The sequence below is a fragment of the Homo sapiens genome, chromosome 11 (genome assembly GCF_000001405.40).
Source record: "Homo sapiens chromosome 11, GRCh38.p14 Primary Assembly".
Lineage (NCBI taxonomy): Eukaryota > Metazoa > Chordata > Mammalia > Primates > Hominidae > Homo > Homo sapiens.
In genome coordinates this window covers 72,743,973-72,762,399 of record NC_000011.10, presented here as the reverse complement: position 1 = coordinate 72,762,399, position 18,427 = coordinate 72,743,973, and the positions used below count along the sequence as shown (strand labels likewise).

Below are 18,427 nucleotides of genomic sequence, written 5' to 3'. Positions count from 1 at the left end.
GCCAATATCCCAGAGCGCTGCTGTAAGAATAAAATAATGTGTATAAAGCACTTAGTGTAATACCTGGCACATGGTGGGTGCACCTGTCAGTATTGCTGGGGGACCTTTCCAAATTGTTTTCATTATTTCAGAATTAGTACTATACATGTTAGATAATAAGAAATATAGACAAGTGGCCGGGCACAGTGGCTCACACCTGTAATCCAAGCACTTTGGGAGGCCGAGGCGGGAGGATCACCTGAGGTCAGGAGTTTGAGACCAGCCTGGCCAACATGGTGAAACCCCGTCTCTATTAAAAATACAAAAATTAGCCAGGCATGATGGTGGGTGCCTATAATCCCAGCTACTCAGGAGGCTGAGGCAGAAGAATCACTTGAACCCGGGAGGCGTAGGTTGCGGTGAGCCAAGATCGTGTCATTGCACTCCAGCCTAGGCAACAAAAGCGAAACTCCATCTCAAAAAAAAAAAAAAAAAAAAAAAAAGAAAAGAAAAGAAAAAGAAATACAGACAAGCAAAATGAAACCATCACATTCCTATCTATCATTTAGAGATCTCCACTGTTAACACCTTAGCAATTGTGCTTCCTGAGCTTCCTCTATGCGTATATTTTTTTTCCCCCAATTGAGGTTATGCTGCTTTTTTTTTGTTTGTTTTTTAAGATGGAGTCTTGCTCTGTCACCCAGGCTGGAGCACACAGCATGATCTCGGCTCACGGAAACCTCCACCTCCCAGATTCAGGCGATTCTCCTGCCTCAGCTTCCTGAGTAGCTGGGATTACAGTTATGTGCCACTACGCCCAGATAATTTTTGTATTTTTGGTAGAGATGGTTGGCCAGGCTGGTCTCGAACTCCTGACCCCAAGTGATCTGCCCGTCTCAGCCTCCAAAAGTGCTGGGATGACAGGTATGAGCCACCGCGCCCAACCTATTTTGTAACCTTTTTTTAGGCAGCAGTTTCCACCATTTTGTTTCTGTAAATTTTCAGTGCATTTGATACTCTGATCATGTTCACTTTTCTCCAGTTGTCCCAAAAATCCCCTTTATAGATGGTGTGTCCAAATCAGTTTGCAATGCAGAGACACACTTTACATGTGGTTGTTATGTCCTGCCAGTCAGTCCCACCCAGCCCCTTTGTTTACGTTGACCAGTAGAAGAGCCTGGGCCAGGAGTCCCGTGGAATGATTCACTGTCTGGCTCTGTCTGGTTGCATTCTCATGTGGTGTCACTTAGCTCATTCCTCTGTCCTCTGTATTTTCTGTAAACTGAAGTTATATCCAAGGCGTGATGGGTTTCTTGGTGCCTAGAATAGCTAGCAGGTGTCGGTGTGTCCTTCCTGCGGCATCCCACCACCATTAGTGGGGCCAAGGCCTATTCTGGGATGAGGGGGAAGACAGTGTGACCTCTCCCTCATATGGTTGCTTATCTCCTCTTGTGAGTGGAAAAGTATTATGTGAGGGTTCCCTTGGCACTGTCTAAATGCCAGTTCTGGGAGATCTTTTTAAACTACACAAGAAAACTTGTCCATTTGCTGAGAGGAACTTGATCTTGGGGATAGGGCACTTGGGTAAAAAAAAAAAAAAATCACAGAACAAGGATATTGAGTTTCATCTCACTGAGTGCAAACCTAGGGAAACCTCGTTCTGATTTTACTTGCTTTCCAGACATGTGATCTGGGTTAAATCCTGGCTCTGCTACTTACCAGCTGAGTGACATTGGGCGAGTTACTTAACCTCTTTGAGCCTCAAGTTCCTCCTTGGATTTCTTATCTGACAGAGTTGTTGGTGAGGGGGTTAAATAAAACAAGGTGTCCTTGGCCGTCTTCTACCCAGATGGAAAGCTCTTTGAGGGCAAGGCTAATACACAGTAAGAAATCCAGGCTGGGCGCGGCGGCTTATGCCTGTAATCCCAGCACTTTTGGAGGCAGAGGCAGGTGGATCACAAGGTCAGGAGTTAGAGACCAGCCTGGCCAACATGGTGAAACCCCGTCTCTACTAAAAATACAAAAAATTAGCCGGGAGTGGTGGCAGGTGCCTGTAATCCCATCTACTCAGGAGGCTGAGGCAGGAGAATCCTTTGAAACCGGAAGGCAGAGCTTGCAGTGAGCCGAGATCACGCCACTGTACTCCAGCCTGGGCAACAAGAGCAAAACTCCGTCTCAATAAATGAATGAATGAATGAATGAAAAAAAGAAAGAAATCCAGGCCGGGTGTGGTGGCTGACACCTGTAATCCCAGCACTTTGGGAGGCCGAGGTGGGTGGATCACAAGGTCAAGAGATTGAGACCATTCTGGTCAACATGGTGAAACCCCATCTCTACTAAAAATACAAAAATTAGCTGGGCACGTGCCTGTAATCCCAGCTATTCTGGAGGCTGAGGTAGGAGAATCACTTGAACCCGGGAGGCAGAGGTTGCAGTGAGCCAAGATCGCGCCACTGCACTCCAGCCTGGGTGACAAGAGCGAAACTCCATCTCAAAAAAAGAAAAAAAAAATCCAAAGATGTTTGTTGAAGGAAAAACAAACAAACAAACCACAAATAAGAGGACAGGTGGTATGGCCGCGTGATAAGTACCAGGGAGGAAATAAATCATCCACTTTGGCATTCGACTTTCATTTATGCTTTCATTTCATTTAACATGTAGCTATTCCAGGCTCCAGGCTGAAGCAACCATGAGCCTCTGCCCACGAGGAGCTCACAGGGGTCTGGGAGGGCACAGACATAGAGATGCATTGTGTGGGAGCCCAGAAGGTCTGGCTGGGAAGGCTTCCTGGAGGAGGAGACTGGGCTGAGTCGGGGGAGATGGTCTCTGGATACAGAGGCTGTCTGTCTCCTGGCACAGGTGGCTTTTTGGGGAGCTGGACAGGGCTTGTGGCAAGAAGGAAGTCCATGCTGGTTTCAGAGGCCCCTGTTCTTTGCTGTCCTCTTTCTCTTCCTCCCCCTCTGCCTGTCTGCCTTCTGGTCCCCTGGCCAAGGCTCTGAGCCCCATATGATCCTGACAACCCATATATCTTGTCTGCAGTGCCGGATGGAGTGCTGTGATGTGCCAGCCGAGACACTCTACGACGTCCTACACGACATTGAGTACCGCAAGAAATGGGACAGCAACGTCATTGAGACTTTTGACATCGCCCGCTTGACAGTCAACGCTGACGTGGGCTATTACTCCTGTGAGCAGGCGTAGCACGCTGATCCCAGTCCCCTTGGCCTCCATCCAGGCCTCCCACCAAGCCTCCTCTTCCCCCCTCCCTCCTGTGGTTACTCACATGACCAAGCTGCTCGGAGACTTGAGTGCTGAGAGATAGAGCTGCCCTCCCTGTCCACTCCTAGACCCTTAGGCACACACCCATACACTTACAAATACATATGCACTCACATGTTCACGTATATACATACACACATAGGCATACACTCAATCAGGCACACAGCCCCCACCCACATGCCACATAGTCCCAGGCACACATTTTCATGCACACTCATACTGTTTTTCTCTTGTACACTCACGTTCACGTAGACAAACCAGCCAGGCCAACAATGTAAGGGCTATGTGAGGCTGTAAGGAGCAGGGCTGGCTGGAGACAGTAGGGACAGGTCTTGCCCTGTCTCTTTTCTGGCTCCAGCTGTGGGACTGTGGTCTGGGAGGGAGGTGTATCTTTGCACTGGAGAGCTGGCAGTTAATTAGGCATCCCTGCATCTCTGGCCTCTGCCACACCCTCCCTTGTAGGCAGGTGGACCAGTGGTCTGGCTGAACTGTCCCTTGCCCCCCACAGGGAGGTGTCCCAAGCCCCTGAAGAACCGTGATGTCATCACCCTCCGCTCCTGGCTCCCCATGGGCGCTGATTACATCATTATGAACTACTCAGTCAAACATCCCGTGAGTCAACCTGCCTTCCCTGCGGTGGAGCAGGGGAGAGGGTCAGGCAGCGCAAGGCTGAGGCTGCCACCATGACTTCAATATGACTTCGGGCAGGCATGGGCCCACTGGCCCTCAGTTTCCTTCCTGTACAGTGAGGATAATGGCTCCTCTCTCCCTGCTGGGTCTCTTGAGCAGATCAGGAGAGGGCAGTGTGGCCACCTCTGTGGCAAGTGGGTGGGATGGGCTGACTTCGATTGGTTGGGCTCTGGGACAGGGAAATGAGGAACAAGAGGTGAGAGGCAGGGTCCTCTGGTCCTCCCTGAGGCTAAGCCACCTTGATCTCCCTGGGCAAGGACAGGCAGGTATAGCTGGCCTGGGCAAGGGTGAGTGTGTGTGTCTGTGAGTGCCCATATGTGCTCATGAGCCCTGACCCCAGACTGGGGGCTTTTCTGAGGGGAACAGGAAAAGCTTCAAGAGGGGCTAGGATGACCTACTCTGGTTCTTCCCTTTCTCTGCACCCAGAATCAGGACTGATCTGTAACAGATGTCACGGCATGTGAATTAACTGTATGTGTGTGTGCGCGTGCGCGTTTGTGTATACTCACAAAAACATCTTCTTTGCCCCCACCCCGAGTCTCACCTCCCTGTGCCTTCCATCCCCAGAAATACCCACCTCGGAAAGACTTGGTCCGAGCTGTGTCCATCCAGACGGGCTACCTCATCCAGAGCACAGGGCCCAAGAGCTGCGTCATCACCTACCTGGCCCAGGTGGACCCCAAAGGTGAGGGCTTGGCCCTGGCAGCCTATCATGGGATCCTTCCCTATACCACAGGGGTGGGGCCTGATCTACTAGGGATCCAGAAGGGCATCTGTTAGGAGCTGTTTTGCATTTTGGGGCATTTCCATCCAAAGCCTTCCTTGAACCAAGGCTTGGGACTTTACAGTGGTTTGAAAAGAGTGGGCCAGGGAGGTGCCACTGCCCCACTGATGAAGCTGGGAGCACTTTTCCTGGGCTCTGCCGTCCCCATGCTCTGCCTTGTTCCCTGCTCACTGGCTGTTCCCTCTGCCTGTCCTGGATGCCTGGGTTTTCTAGGCCTTAGTCTTCTCTCCCTGGGGATGGCTCAGCCACCCCTGTGGCTTCTGTCACAAGTGGCCATGTCTCTCTCAGCTGAGATTCAGATTCCTGTGGCCATCGGCCACCTGGACATCTCCCTTCGGATGTCTTCCAGGCACCTAAGCCTCGTTGTGTCCAGTGGGGAACTCGCCATCTTTCCTCCTAACTTGCCCCTTGCCCTAAGTCTCCACTTTTCAGTCACCCATGCCCAGAACCTGCCATCATTTGGGGTCACTCCCTCTTCCTCAGCCAAATCCAGCCATTGATTTTTTTTTTTTTTTTTTTTTTGAGACAGAGTTTCACTCTTGTTTCCCAGGCTGGAGTGCAATGGTGCAATCTCGGCTCACTGCAACCTCTGCCTCCCGGGTTCAAATGATTCTCCTGCCCCAGCCTCCCGAGTAACTGGGATTACAGGCATCTGTCACCACCCCCAGCTAACTTTTTGTATTTTTAGTAGAGATGGGGTTTCACCATGTTGGCCAGCCTGGTCTCGAACTCCTGACCTTGTGATCCACCCACCTTGGCCTCCCAAAGTGCTGGGATTACAGGCGTGAGCCACCGCGCTTAGCCCCCGTCACTGATTCTTATTGATTCTGCCTCCTCCTCGGCAGTTCCTGAGTCTGGCATTTCTCTCCATACCAACTACCTTGTCTGTGTATAACAGCGGCCAGAGGAATTTCTCTAAAACACTTATCTCCTCATGACTCTCATCTGCTTGAAGTTACTCTGTGGCTCTCCATTGCCCTCCAAGAAAAGCCTAAGCCCTGTCCCAGGTCTCCTGGTGTCTCTCACACCTCACCCATCCCCACTTCTGTGCCCAGGCAGCCCTTCCCCGAAGCCTCCCCTCCTCGCCCCTCCAGGGGTGCTGTGGGTGTCACCTCCTGATCCCTGACACTCAGGGGAGTCACTGGCTCCCTGTTCTGTAGTCCATTCCCCTCTAGTAGAACAGTCGGCTCCTGTTGGGCCCCCAGTGAGTTCCTCTCTGGGTCCCCAGGGCTGGCCCAGGGTGGGTGTCACAGTGAACATGGAGTGAGTGAGTGAGTGAGTGAGTGAATGACTAGAGGATGGGGAAGCCTTGAGCATCCTTGCCTGGAAATGCTTCAAGCCCCAGAGCGCACAGTGGTCCAGGCCTAGCACTCCCCCGGCACCTCATTGTGTTGGGTGTCAGAGGTGGAGTGGACACTTGGGAATGAGATAGGGTGGAGAGCTGGGCAGTGGATTCCAGGTCAGGCCAGGCTGGGGTGCTCAGCCAGAGGCCTGTGTGGTCAGGGGAGGACTTGGAAGGACAGGCAGGGGAGGGGCTGAGCGTCAGGGGCATTCCTGGGAGGGAGGTTAGGTTGAGAAGGGATGTCAGTGTGATTGAGTGAGGCAGCAGGTGCAGCAGGGTGGGTCAGAGTTTCCACCCATGTATAGCCTGTGCTTACCTAGGACCCTGTGGTTTTCTTCCACGTAATCTTTGAGGCTGGGCAGAGGGAAAGTGGGGGACAGAGCTAAGCCTGAGGACTTCGGTCTGAGGTGGAAGGGAGTGAGGGTAAAGGCTTGTAGGACTTGCCTCACACACCTCCTCCTCATGGGGAAGACAGTGGCCTCCCTGGAAGCTCTGGGCAGAGGGTGGGGCTTTTGTCAGGGGCGGAGGGGCTGGGTCCCTGAGGCTGCTTCCTCCCTTCCCTGCCCTCACAGGCTCCTTACCCAAGTGGGTGGTGAATAAATCTTCTCAGTTCCTGGCTCCCAAGGTGAGTGGCCTTGGGATTTTGGGGAGGGGTGTTGAAGACTGGAAAGAGGACTATGGAATGAGGTGGGTGGAGTCAAGCCTGGAGCCTGAGGGCCAGGCGTGGTGGCTCATGCCTGTAATCCCAGCACTTTGGGAGGCCTTGGCAGGTGGATTACCTGAGGTCGGGAGTTCAAGACCAGCCTGGCCAACATGGTGAAACCCTGTCTCTACTAAAAATACAAAAATTAGCTGAGTGTGATGGTGGGTGCCTGTAATCCCAGCTACTCGGGAGGCTAAGGCAGGAGAATCACTTGAACCTGGAAGGCAGAGGTTGCAGTGAGCCGATATCATGCCACTGCACTCCAGCCTGGGCCACACAGTGAGATTCCGTCTCAAAAAAAAAAAAAAAAAAAAAAGAATGGAGAATGGAGCCTAGGGCCCAGGGAGGGCAAGTAGGGCTGAGGAGTGAAGTTTTGAAAGGGAGCCAGTCAGGATGCTGGGGGCTGAGCCGCTGGAGGGGGGTGTGGAGAAGACCTGCCCCCTAGCCACCCCCTGACCCGGCGGGGCGGCGGGCCCACAGGCCATGAAGAAGATGTACAAGGCGTGCCTCAAGTACCCCGAGTGGAAACAGAAGCACCTGCCTCACTTCAAGCCGTGGCTGCACCCGGAGCAGAGCCCGTTGCCGAGCCTGGCGCTGTCGGAGCTGTCGGTGCAGCATGCGGACTCACTGGAGAACATCGACGAGAGCGCGGTGGCCGAGAGCAGAGAGGAGCGGATGGGCGGCGCGGGCGGCGAGGGCAGCGACGACGACACCTCGCTCACCTGAGCGCCGCACCGCTTCAGGGACGGAGACAGGACCGGGCGAGCCCTGGGGCGGCGGCCGCTCCTGCACTTTCTCCCCTCCCCCACCCGGCACCTGGTGGCACCGGGCCAGGCCCAGGCGGGTGCTGCAGCCTGGCTGGACAGAGCCCCAATAAACGATCCCACAGCCTCAGCCGGCTCATCACTGTGCCTGCTTCCCACCTGCCTCATGGCCGCTGCCGCGGTCCCCTGCGTCTGCCCTTAATTTTGTTAAGGTTGTTGATCATCCGGCCGTTGATCCTTCCAGCATCTCCTCATTTCCCATTGTGTAGCGGGGAGGAGACGGGGTTTATCACTGCCCCCCTTCTGTCCATACTCTGTTCCATTCTCTGCCCGTATCTATCCAGCTGTCCTTGTTGAGCGGTCATTTTGGCATTCACGCCAGGCTATTTGCTTTCTTTTTCACTGCTTTAAGGCAGCGGTCCCCAACCTTTTTGGCACCAGGGACTGGTTTTGTGCAAGACAAATTTTCCATGGATCAGGATTGGGGAAGGATTGGTTTTGGGATGATTCAAGTGCATCACATTTATCATTAGATTTTGATAAGGAGCGCACAACCTAGATCCCTCGCATGCGCAGTTCACAATAGGGTTCTCCCTCCTATGAGAATCCAATGCTGCTGCAGATCTGACAGGAGGCGGTAATGCTAGCTCAGCCTCTGCTCACTTCCTGCTGTGCAGCCTGGTTCCTAACAGGTTCCTGACAGGACCAGTACCAGTCTGTGGCCCAGGGGTTGGGGACCTCTGCTCTAAGGGAAGGAGCAGGCCTTGACAGAGACCCTGGGTCAGGAGTCAGAGGGTGAGGTTCTACTCTGTGTCCTTCGGCCCAAGGCCCTTTGGGTCCAACCTATGGACTGGGGTCTGACACTCCTGTCATCCCAGAAGGGAGGTGGAGGGGTCCGTGGGTCTCAAGCCACAGGGCTGTGGGTCTCAGAGCTGAGGCTGGGGCAGCATACCCTGGAGGGAGGTCAAGGGTGCAGGTGAGGGGCCTCAGATTCCAGTGCAGTTGGTGGGGACCAGGCTTGGTGATTCACGCCCTCCCTAGGTCATTTTGAAGACCTCAGGACTGTGTTAACAGAAATGGTAGGGTCCCCAGACCCCCTATCCCCTTGCCAGTGGTCAGATGCCAGCCTTCTCACCCTGTGCTGCACCTCGCTGGTCTGAAGTCTAGAGGGACGCCTGGGCCTCCCCTGTGATCTGTGGCCCCCAGGTGCCCTCTGCTGCCCAAGGGACACCCCTGCTGCCAGGACCAGAGGAGGGGCCTATGCTCTGCTCCTCTGCAGTGTTTTTGACCCCATATGAACTTGGGGCCCGGAAGTTCTCCGCAAGGTCTGGCCCTGTTCTCCCCTCCCGGAAAGCTCCTTTGCCTTAGCCCTACCACCAGAAGACACGGTCTACTCAGTCAACTCTTTCCCAGAGGGACAGGGTGAATGGCCAGTGGGGGGCAGGCAGGAGATTCTAGAACTCATAAAAATGGGTTGCTTCCCAGCTTTGCCCAACACTGGCTTTGTAACTTTGGGCAAGCCCTCAGACTTCTTGGAGCCTTATTTCCTAACCCATAACCTGGGATGATAATTTTTGCCATCAAGCAGAATGTAAGGATTGAGATAAAAGGAATAAATTGCCCAGCACTGGGACTAGCATGCAGTAGGTGCTCCAATTAATGACACTTTCCTCTTCTCAGGGGGTAAACCCTCATCCCCCGCAATGTGAGATCTGTTCTTCCAAATATACCCTTTGTGCATATAAAGAAATTGAAGCCCAGGGAAGGTCTCTGGCGTGGCTGGCCCCGGAGGTGTTCTGGACACAGGACCCAGAAATGTCTGCCAAGCTTGGTACCCTCATCTGTGTATGTGCTGGGAGGATGGGTGGGAATCTCCTGTTCTCTAGGTGTGGGTGCTGGAACCTCAGGCTGCAGCCTTCCGCTGAGGGATCCTTGGGAGGTGTGGCTGGGTGGGTAGCTTCCCCACAACCCTGCCTGTGGGCACCCAGGGAGGGAAGTGAGATACCCTTGAAGAATGTGGTGGAGGAAGGATTTCCTAGAGGAGGTGGTCAGGCACCACTGACGGCCTTCAACTGCCTCCTATCCCCCTGGGGGTGTGGCCCTCTTGTGGGTGGGGTGTATGTCAGGGCAGACTCACCAGAAGAGGGGTGGCGAGAGCAGGGAGACTCAGGGAGAGGTGGACTCAGCGGGCGAGGTGGCGGGGGTTAGACCTGAGCCTCAGGAGACAGTCGGAAGACCCGCAAGCAGCTAGAGGGGCAGGAGAGAGACACAGACCGACGGGTCCGGCGGGCGGGCCAGGCCAACCAACTCCAGGACCGTGACTAGGCGGGGGGAGGGGCCGATGAGGGGGCGGGGCCCTGCCCTGCCCTGCCCCAGCCCCACCTTCCCCTCCCCGGGAGTCACGTGGGGCGGGCGGAAGCGCCCGGGGGGGTGGGCGCGCCCGGCCCCTTGCTGCAATTTGGCGGTGGCGGTGTAAGTCGGTGGCGGCGCCGGTACGCCTGGTCCCCGCGTGGAGTCTTTACTCAAAACAGGTCAGTGCGGCTGCCGGAGCCTCCCCGTCTGCAGGCCCCTCGCCACATTGGCCTGCAGTTTCCCCATTCTGCAGAAAGGAACGCCGAGGCCGCGCGCTGCTTCTGCTTCCCCGGGTCATCTTGTCTGTTTACCTTTTTGGGCGTGATGGGGGGGTCGCCTCTTGAGGATAAGCCAGCGGGCCAGAGACGGTAGGGAAGGGGGGTGAACCAGCGGGACCCGGGGCTTCCAGCCCGTAGCCCTTTGGCGTGAAGGGTCTCTGGAGTCAGCCGCCCTCGGGCGCCTTGGGGTTCCCATCTGTGAAGTGAAGGCTCCCACCTCGTTGGCCGCTGAGACCTTTACATTTCTGGAGATCTGTACGACCCTATGCCCTGGGCCTGGGGCTCCAGTGACCTTGGGCAGGCTACTTCCGGTCTCTGCATCTCAATTCCCCACCAGTAAATGGGGCATGGCTTCCCCAGAGCCCCTACCTGGCCCAGTTGCTGGTGAAAGAAAGTATGTGCTCAGGGAATGGGGTCACGCTGGGAGTGGGGTGGTTGGGCCTGGAGAGAGCAGGCTTAGGGTGCAGCCTGGGGGCAGGGGATGGGTGTTTGGTGCAGGGCCGGCGGGGAGGGGGGGAATCTGGCCAGAAGCCATCACGCTGTGGTTTCTGCTATATACCGTCCCTTCCCCCACATCCCATATCCTGGGGAGCCTTCCCTGATCCCAGATAGGTGGGAGGGGGGTGCTTCAGGGCCAGATACCTGGGGGTACTCGGAAGGATTTGACTCTTTGGTGGGTCCCAGGGTCCCAGACTGAGGCACTCATGATACCTGTTCGCGGAGAGTCCCCAGAGGCCAGGCTGGGAGAGACTGCCCAGCAAGATCATCACAGGGTAGAAGGAGCCCAGCAGAGCCTTGAAGACAGGTGTGGACAGGTGCAGGCCCCAGGGGAGGGGATGACTGGAATGGGCTTGGCAGTTAAGTGGCAATTTACAAGGATAAGGACCCTCCAAAGGCGAGGGCGTAGCTTGTGCAAAGTCAGGAATTTGGATGGTGTGTCTGAGGAATGGCAGAAAGGTGGGTGTGGCTGGCAGAGGTGTAGAGAGAACTCATCCTGTGTCCCATTCCTGGCTGGGGATTGTCAGGACTGGGCCTGGGGACCTTGCCTCCCCATTGGCTACTTGCATATTGGAGTAGTTTAGGAAGGGGGTGTCCCAGGCAGAGTACCGGTGACTGATGAGGTGGAGGGGGCAGAGGCCACCAGAGCCCTGATGGCCCCCAGGTTTTGTTTTGCATTCAAGCCTCCTACTCAACCCCAGCTTTATACCCCCACCACCTGGGCTCCAGCCATGCTTCACACATCCAGCCTCAGCTTTTTGTACAGATTGTTAATCCTCCTCCCAACCCTCTAGAAGCTTCCTCCCCATTCAAATCCCCAGGTCCTTTGGGACTTCAGGTTTCAGAGATGGGCTGCTGTTGCCCCTCCTTCCTGCCCAGCCTTCAGTCTTGTGTAATGGCACAGCTTAGGAAGGGTCTCCTTGGAGCTCTGTGGGGATGGGGCCTGCAGAGCCATGGGGATCATGGGACCTGGGGCCCCGAGTCCTTGTGCAGCCACCAATCACTATGTGACTCTACAAGTCCCCAAATTCCTCAGAGCCTCCATTTCCCCATCTGCAGGATGGAGTGATCAGCCCTGGCCTCATGCCCCAAAGAGAGACGGTGCTGGGGCAATAGTCAGGCCTATCTGCTAAGATGCTGGGGCAATAGGCCTATCTGCTAAGTCCTGTCTCCAGCATTGAGAGTTTGAATGAAAGAAAGAGAGAACCCAGGGGAAGGGGTCAGTTTAGAGGGGTTGGGGGGGTGTCTGAGAGTATCGGGGGCTAGTGGTGGACCAGGCCTAGGGCATCGGCTGGAGGTGGGGAGTCCCTTCCATTTTCCGGAGCCCTCTCTCCTTCCCACCCAACTCTCCCTTGGCTGAGCTCAAAGCCACCCGCCACTGCCCAAACAAGTGGCCTCTGTTCCCAGGGTAGGGGGAGGGGAGGCAGGCCCTGGGCTCCAGGCCCGCCTGTCCAGCGCTGACCCTGGCCCCCCGCCCCTCACTCTAGGTCTTAACCCTTGGGGGCCTGGACCGGGCCCTGGGCTCCTTGAGGGCTGGTGATTCTTGTTCACCAGCTGTCCCCTCTACCCCGCTTCAGGCTCCCAAGGGTTCTGTCACATCAGGAGGGGATGCAGTAGGAAATGGGGAAGGAAGGAGGGAACAAGGGTGGGGGACAGGCTGGAGCAGATATGGCCATGGACACTTAGAGACCATTTGGCCTAAAAGCTTCTTTCACAGATGGGGAAACTGAGGCCAAGAGCTAGAGATGAGGGTAGGATCACACAGAGACCCCTGGTGGGGGTCAGGACAGGTTCTGTCTCCTAGTCTGGCCTCTCTGGGGGAAAGGGGAGAGAGGGAGAGGGAACTTTTTTTTTTTTTTTGAGACGGAGTCTTGCTCTGTTGCCCAGGCTGGAGTGCAGTGGCACAATCTTGGCTCCACCTTCTGGGTTCATGCCATTCTCCTGCCTCAGCCTCCTGAGTAGCTGGGACTACAGGCGCCCGCCACCACACCTGGCTAATTTTTGTATTTTTAGTAGAGACGGGGTTTCACCTTGTTAGCCAGGATGGTCTCAATCTCCTGACCTCGTGATCTGCCCGCCTCAGCCTCCCAAACTGCTGGGGTTACAGGTGTGAGCCACCACTCCCGGCTGGGAGAGGGAACATTCTTTGTTGAGTACCTGCTGTGTGCTGGACACTGCACATTTGTCATCTAATGATTTACATAATTGCATAAGAGCATAAGACGACCATCACCCTCCAATATCATAGTGGAAGTAACAGCCTTAGAGAAAGCTGAGTAATAACATCAGTGAGAATGAGGTCAGCAAACATGCCTATAGCACTGTTGTAAAGTTTTATCCATATTAACCAATTCCACCCTGCCAATAACCCAAGAAATTAGGTGACATTCTACAGATAAGGAAACTGAGGCACAGAGAGGCTAAGTAACTTGTGTAAGAATACATTGGGAGGGTGGTAGAGAGACAGGGTCAGGACCCAGGTGTTCATTGCCTCCTTTGTCTGACTTCACTTTGATCTTACTCTTTGAGCACCTCCCAGGGCTGAGTGAGGTGCTTTCCCCGGGTGGTGACCGAGGCAGCCTTGAACAGTGTGTGACCCCAGCTAAGCTGACCCAGTCCCCGCTCTGGAGCAGAGTCCAGTCCCTCGGGCAGCTCTTCTCATTTCTTTCTCTGGTCTTGGGCAGGTTAGAGTCAGCACCCTCCACAGCCCTGTGCAGAGAGGTGTTATGTTTTAGAAAGGAGTTCTGTGCTAAGGGTGGCCACTCCAGGGTTCTGAACAGCATGAGGATTTGGTGGGTGGGGAGACATCCCCATCCAATGTGCATGCCCCACAAAACTCAGAGGCTGCCGCTGAATCAACCCCAGTGTCCCCAGCTCTGATCAGAGATAACATTTTTTCCACCTTCCCCTACCCCTGGCCAGGCCCCCAGACTGTATGTGCATTCCAACCAGGGATCTGAGGAGGACAGTCCCACCTGGAGGCAGATGACCCCAGATGTGAAAGATGGTGGGGGGCAATGCATGGATTGTGTTCCACATGGTCTTCCTGTGGAATGTCTCTTTTTCTCATCCTTGGGCCGTAGTACAGAGGGGAAGAGCCTGTCCCATAGTTAGGTTATCTGTCCTAGGCCACTGGGACAGTCAAAGAGTGGCTGGGAGGGGACGTGGAGTTAAGTGACCAGTTCAATAACAAATCATTTTTTTTTTTTTTGAGATGGAGTCTTGCTCTGTAGCCCAGGCTCAAGTGTGGTGGCATGATCTCGGCTCACTGCAACCTCCGCCTCCCGGGTTCAAGCGATTCTCCTGCCTCAGCCTCCCGAGTAGCTGGGATTACAGGCACGCGCCACCATACCCAGCTAATTTTTGTATTTTTAGTAGAGACGGGGTTTCACCATGTTGGCCAGGATGATCTTGAACTCCTGACCTCGTGATCCGCCCGCCTTGGCCTCCCAAAGTGCTGGGATTACAGGTGTGAGCCACTGGGCCCAGTCAACAAATCATTATTTAATAGTAGTAATAATAGTAGCAGTAGCTATTGTTTCTTGGAAGCTGACTATGTGCCAGGCAGTGTGCTAAGCACTTTATATACTGAATTCATTTAATCCTCAAAATAGTCTTCTGAGGTAGGCACCATTCCCATTTTCCACATGAGGAAACTGAGGTCCCAAGAAGTTAAGTGATTTGTCCAAGATCATCCATTACATAGAATAGCTGGGAATCTACATTTCCATTGCTTCACAGTGAAAACCACAAGCACTGGGAGGCATTGCAGACAGAGGAGATCTAAACCCAGTCCTACCCTGGGAATGCCTAGTCAGTGATAGGCAGAGACTAGAGGGCCACCTGGTCAGGTGACATTGCTGGTGACCAACTGTGGATCTGGGGTGCCCTCAAGGGTACAGGGGTATCCTGCTTGCAGACGGGACTAATTGCCGTCAAATCCTGAGCCCCCGTGGCCCTGGCCCTGGGATAAGCGTCTTGTGGAGGTTTGGTTTCTGCTATTGTCCTATCCACCTTGGCTCTTGTTCATACAGTGGTTCTCCCAGACCCCATTTTGCTGATGAGACTAAGGCCAGTAGAAGGTGGTGACTTGCCTGCAGTCTCTCAGCCAAGGAAAGCAAGAGCAGGCCCTGGAACCCCGGCAGGGCGCTCTGAGGCCTGCATTCTACCTCTCTGCTTGAGGCCTGGTTGGGGCTTCCTGAAGTGTTGAGCTTCCTTCAGACCCTGCCCACACTGCCTTGTTACAAGGTCCAAGTCTTTTCTCCCTGACCAAACCAGGAACCTGATCCTGTTGGGATGCTGGGGCTTTGCTACAGCAGGGTGTCAGTAACTGAACAACCCTGGAAACATGGTTCTAGAGCCCAGAGACAGGGACCACCTATGGTCCAGTGTGTGGGGCTCAGGGTCAGAGGGGCCTAGAGGAAGATTAAGGCATCAGAGAGTCCTCCCTGAGGGGATGTGTTAAAATCTCCCTCCTGTCCTTATCCTCACTGTTGTGAGGGCAACGGTAAAGGCAAGAGGGTGGGAGAAGATCAGGAGGGCCACTTCTCTATCCCCATTCTCAGGGCAGAACCAGGGGTCACACCTGGAATCTTGGCTGTCAGTGGCCCTGGGGGAGCTTGGGCTGGCCCTGCCTCCTTCTGGCCAGGCCAGTGCTGGGGTGGCTTAACCCCCGGGACAGAAGACCAGGAGCAAGGCTGAGCTGCCACTGCATTTCGGCTTTCCAGGTGCCAGGGTCTCCCCTGCCAGCTTTCCTACTGGCCCAGCGAGCACTGCCCCACCCTGGGCATCCCCCTCTCTCCTCCCCAACCCATAATGCATAGGGCAGGGGTCTGCCTGTAGTCAGGTGCAGAGTCAGGAACCCAGGGTCTGCCTCAGGCCTCTAGCTCAGTGAGAGACCTTTGGCTGGGCATTTATCTTTACTGTACTCAACTTCCCTGGAGCTTCAGGGAGGGGCAGTAAGGAGCGACTCTGGGGATCCCCCAGGCTTACCAGCCCCCAGTTGTGAACAGGTCAGGACAGAAACCAACCAAATTGGGCAGGTGAGAGGGGGAGGGGGTTGGGGGGAGGGGGCTGTTCCACTCCTCTCCACTCCCTTCTCTTCACACTGAGCAGCTAGAATTTTAAGATTCTGAGTCTGAGATTCTAGGCTGGTGAGATTCGAGGATTTTAGGGTTTTATGTGCCTGTGAGTCCCAGCTTCTGAATTTCCGAAATTCTAGGTTCCGAGAGCCTAAAAAGCCTCGAGTTGGGCTGGGTCACCCCCAAGTTGAGGCTGGGGCATGTGCCGTGCTTCAGCCTGGTTGGTGCAGACGGCTGAGGCCTGGAGAGTTTCTCAGTGCTGGCTGGTGGGTCAGAGGCACAGCTGGTCTCCAGGTGCCGGGTGCTCCCTGCATCTACCACCCCCAGCACACACCCGGCTGTCTCCCCTTCAAGAAATCTGGGAACCCTGCAGACTAGGTGGTAGCAGAGGGGCACTCAGTTATCTTGGCAGTGGGGAGAGATGGGCCAGGCCCCCTCTGCATTCACGGGTTGTAGTGGGGCTGTTCCCGTGGACACTAGGGCGGGGTTGGGGAGGGCTGGTGGCTGGCTAATTCAAAGAGCAAGGTCAGGGTCACACTGCTGGCCATCAGGGCCAGTATGGGATGTGGCTCAGCAGACCAAGGTTAAGCCTTGAAGGGTCAGAGCCAGGCTCAGGAGCCTCTGCAGAAGGTGGTGGACAGAGATCAAGAGCCTGAGGGGACGTATTGCTCTGCCTTAGGGTATAGAAGGCTGGGCTTGACTGAGGGACTTAGGAGCTACCATCCCTAGCTGTTTCCCGTGCTGTCTGGGCCTGTGGGCACAGCAGCTGCACTCAAGAGGCTGCGGGTCAGGAGCAGCTCTGCCCCTCAGAGAAGCACAACCCAGCCAGGAGCCCAGCCAGGCAGTCGTCCAGGAGAAGGGCACTGACAGCCAAGATTCCAGGTGTGGCCCCTGGTCCTCTCCACCTTTGAGACATGACACAGGTGCCCTTTGGGACACAGGAGTGTCTCCTGGAAGATTGCCTGGCCAGGCTCCTGGCGGGGTCGTGCTTCCCAGCCCCAGCCTGCAGCACATCCCTCCAGTGGGTACTCCATGCGGGTATGGTCAGCATTCCTCATGGGTTGGGGTAGGAGGGGCCCAGTTCTGCACCCCTTGATGTGTGAGCTGGGCAAGGCTTTCACCCACTTGAAACTTGGTCTCTCGGGTGGCCAGGCATGGTGGCTCATGCCTGTAATCCCAGCACTTTGGGAGGCCGACGCGGGCGGATCACAAGGTCAGGAGATCAAGACCATCCTGGCTAACACGGTGAAACCCCGTCTCTACTAAAAATACAAAAAAAAAAAAAAAAAAAAAATTAGCCGGACGTGGTGGCAGGCGCCTGTAGTCCCAGCTACTCAGGAGGCTGAGGCAGGAGAATGGCGTGAACCCGTGAGGCGGAGCTTGCAGTGAGCCGAGATCGAGCCACTGCACTCCAGCCTGGGCGACAGAGCGAGACTCCGTCTCAAAAAAAAAAAAAAAAAAAAAAAAGAAAGAAACTTGGGCTGCTGTGTGGGTTTGCAGCTTAAATGCAAGTTTGTTCCCAGTGGCCACAGTGTGCCTGGTAGGGAGAATGGGCCACCCCTTTCCACTCCAGGAGCAGAGTTGGAGACTGACACTTTTCCAGATGATAACAGGAAAGCTCTGGGGTAGCGGCTCCCGTGCTTGGTGAAGGGGCACCAGAGCCTTGGCTAAAGGCTTCCCTCCCCTGCTCTGCCTGGGGCTGCTCTCTTCCTTCTGTCTCTTTCTCGGCTCTAAAGATGGACATGCTAAGCCTAGGGAGTCTGAAGATCCAGGGGGTGTCTAGTGGTTCTGTTCCAGTTTCTGTTCCACGGACATGAACCAGGACACTCATTTGCCTCTACTGCCTGTGGCCTGAAAACCCACATTTCTCAGTGCAGAACTGGCTTAGCCCACTTGGAGATATGTGGGGGACGGGGGAGGGAGGTTGCTCCAGTATCTCTAATGTTGCCTGAGGCCCCCTCCCCAGTTCTTCCAAGGAACAGGCTGCTGGAGATATCTGAGCTCAGGCTCGGGGGCCAAGGTCTGAGTCATGGTCCTGACTTGCCCGTGCGGCCCTGGCTAGGTTCTTGCCCCTTCTGGGACTGGGACTTACTTTCATTTCTAGAAATGTGGAAGGTTGATTTGGTGGTTCCTAAGTGCCTAAGGAGCAGGTGGTTGGGTTGTGTGGTACTGGTCGAGAAGGCAGGGCTGGGTAGTAGAACTATAGTAGAACTATAACTGGGTGGGACTGGGTGGAATGGGAGGCACCTCGTATTGGGAGGCTGGAGGCTGGGTTCTGGCCACACTTTGGCCACTGATTTGCAGTGGCAAGTTGTCATTTGCCTGGCTCTCCATGTGTAAAATTGGGAAATGTTCGTTCAGTCAACAGATATTCACTGTGTGCCACCTTTGGGACACAGGTATCCCTGGTCTTGCCTGAGAAAGCACCCAGCCAGGGTTGGGGGTAAGAGAGTATGTATGTGACAGACACAGTCACAGATGGTGACACACACAGTCACAGATGGTGACATCTGGTGTGATCAGGGCTGTGACTGTGGGAGTCGGAGACTGCTTCCTCAAGCAGGTGGCACTTGAGCTTGCAGGGTGAGGTAGAGAAAGATGTTCTAGGCAAAGGGAACCGGGTAAGCAAAGGCTTGGTGGTGAAGCCCTGGTGTTGGAGCGTGAGAGTGGAGGAAAT

At 55.0% G+C, this 18,427-nt stretch overlaps 2 protein-coding genes across 2 annotated transcripts in view, besides 4 other annotated features; both read left to right on the top strand.

Moving 5' to 3' along the window:
* Nucleotides 1–7,671, top strand: part of STARD10 (StAR related lipid transfer domain containing 10) — a 39,319-nt gene extending 31,648 nt beyond the window's left edge. Inside the window, exons 3-7 of the mRNA NM_006645.3 lie at nt 3,019–3,166; nt 3,767–3,870; nt 4,516–4,633; nt 6,647–6,699; nt 7,258–7,671. Coding sequence (NP_006636.2) covers nt 3,019–3,166; nt 3,767–3,870; nt 4,516–4,633; nt 6,647–6,699; nt 7,258–7,503 — 669 coding nt within the window. The 3' untranslated portion in view covers nt 7,504–7,671. The remainder of the gene's footprint in view (nt 1–3,018; nt 3,167–3,766; nt 3,871–4,515; nt 4,634–6,646; nt 6,700–7,257) is intronic.
* Nucleotides 9,352–9,581: an enhancer, noted in NCBI's record as "active region_5203". NCBI's record gives its function as "activates an Ori minimal core promoter by ATAC-STARR-seq in GM12878 lymphoblastoid cells {active_cell/tissue: GM12878}" and the evidence as "EXISTENCE:reporter gene assay evidence [ECO:0000049][PMID:35858748]".
* Nucleotides 9,852–10,141: a silencer, noted in NCBI's record as "silent region_3726". NCBI's record gives its function as "represses an Ori minimal core promoter by ATAC-STARR-seq in GM12878 lymphoblastoid cells {active_cell/tissue: GM12878}" and the evidence as "EXISTENCE:reporter gene assay evidence [ECO:0000049][PMID:35858748]".
* ARAP1 (ArfGAP with RhoGAP domain, ankyrin repeat and PH domain 1) overlaps nt 9,992–18,427 on the top strand; it is a 67,340-nt gene continuing 58,904 nt past the window's right edge. Inside the window, exon 1 of the mRNA NM_001040118.3 lies at nt 9,992–10,072. The gene's annotated coding sequence lies outside the window, so the exon portion shown is untranslated. The remainder of the gene's footprint in view (nt 10,073–18,427) is intronic.
* Nucleotides 10,192–10,311: an enhancer, noted in NCBI's record as "active region_5202". NCBI's record gives its function as "activates an Ori minimal core promoter by ATAC-STARR-seq in GM12878 lymphoblastoid cells {active_cell/tissue: GM12878}" and the evidence as "EXISTENCE:reporter gene assay evidence [ECO:0000049][PMID:35858748]".
* Nucleotides 12,971–13,130: an enhancer, noted in NCBI's record as "active region_5201". NCBI's record gives its function as "activates an Ori minimal core promoter by ATAC-STARR-seq in GM12878 lymphoblastoid cells {active_cell/tissue: GM12878}" and the evidence as "EXISTENCE:reporter gene assay evidence [ECO:0000049][PMID:35858748]".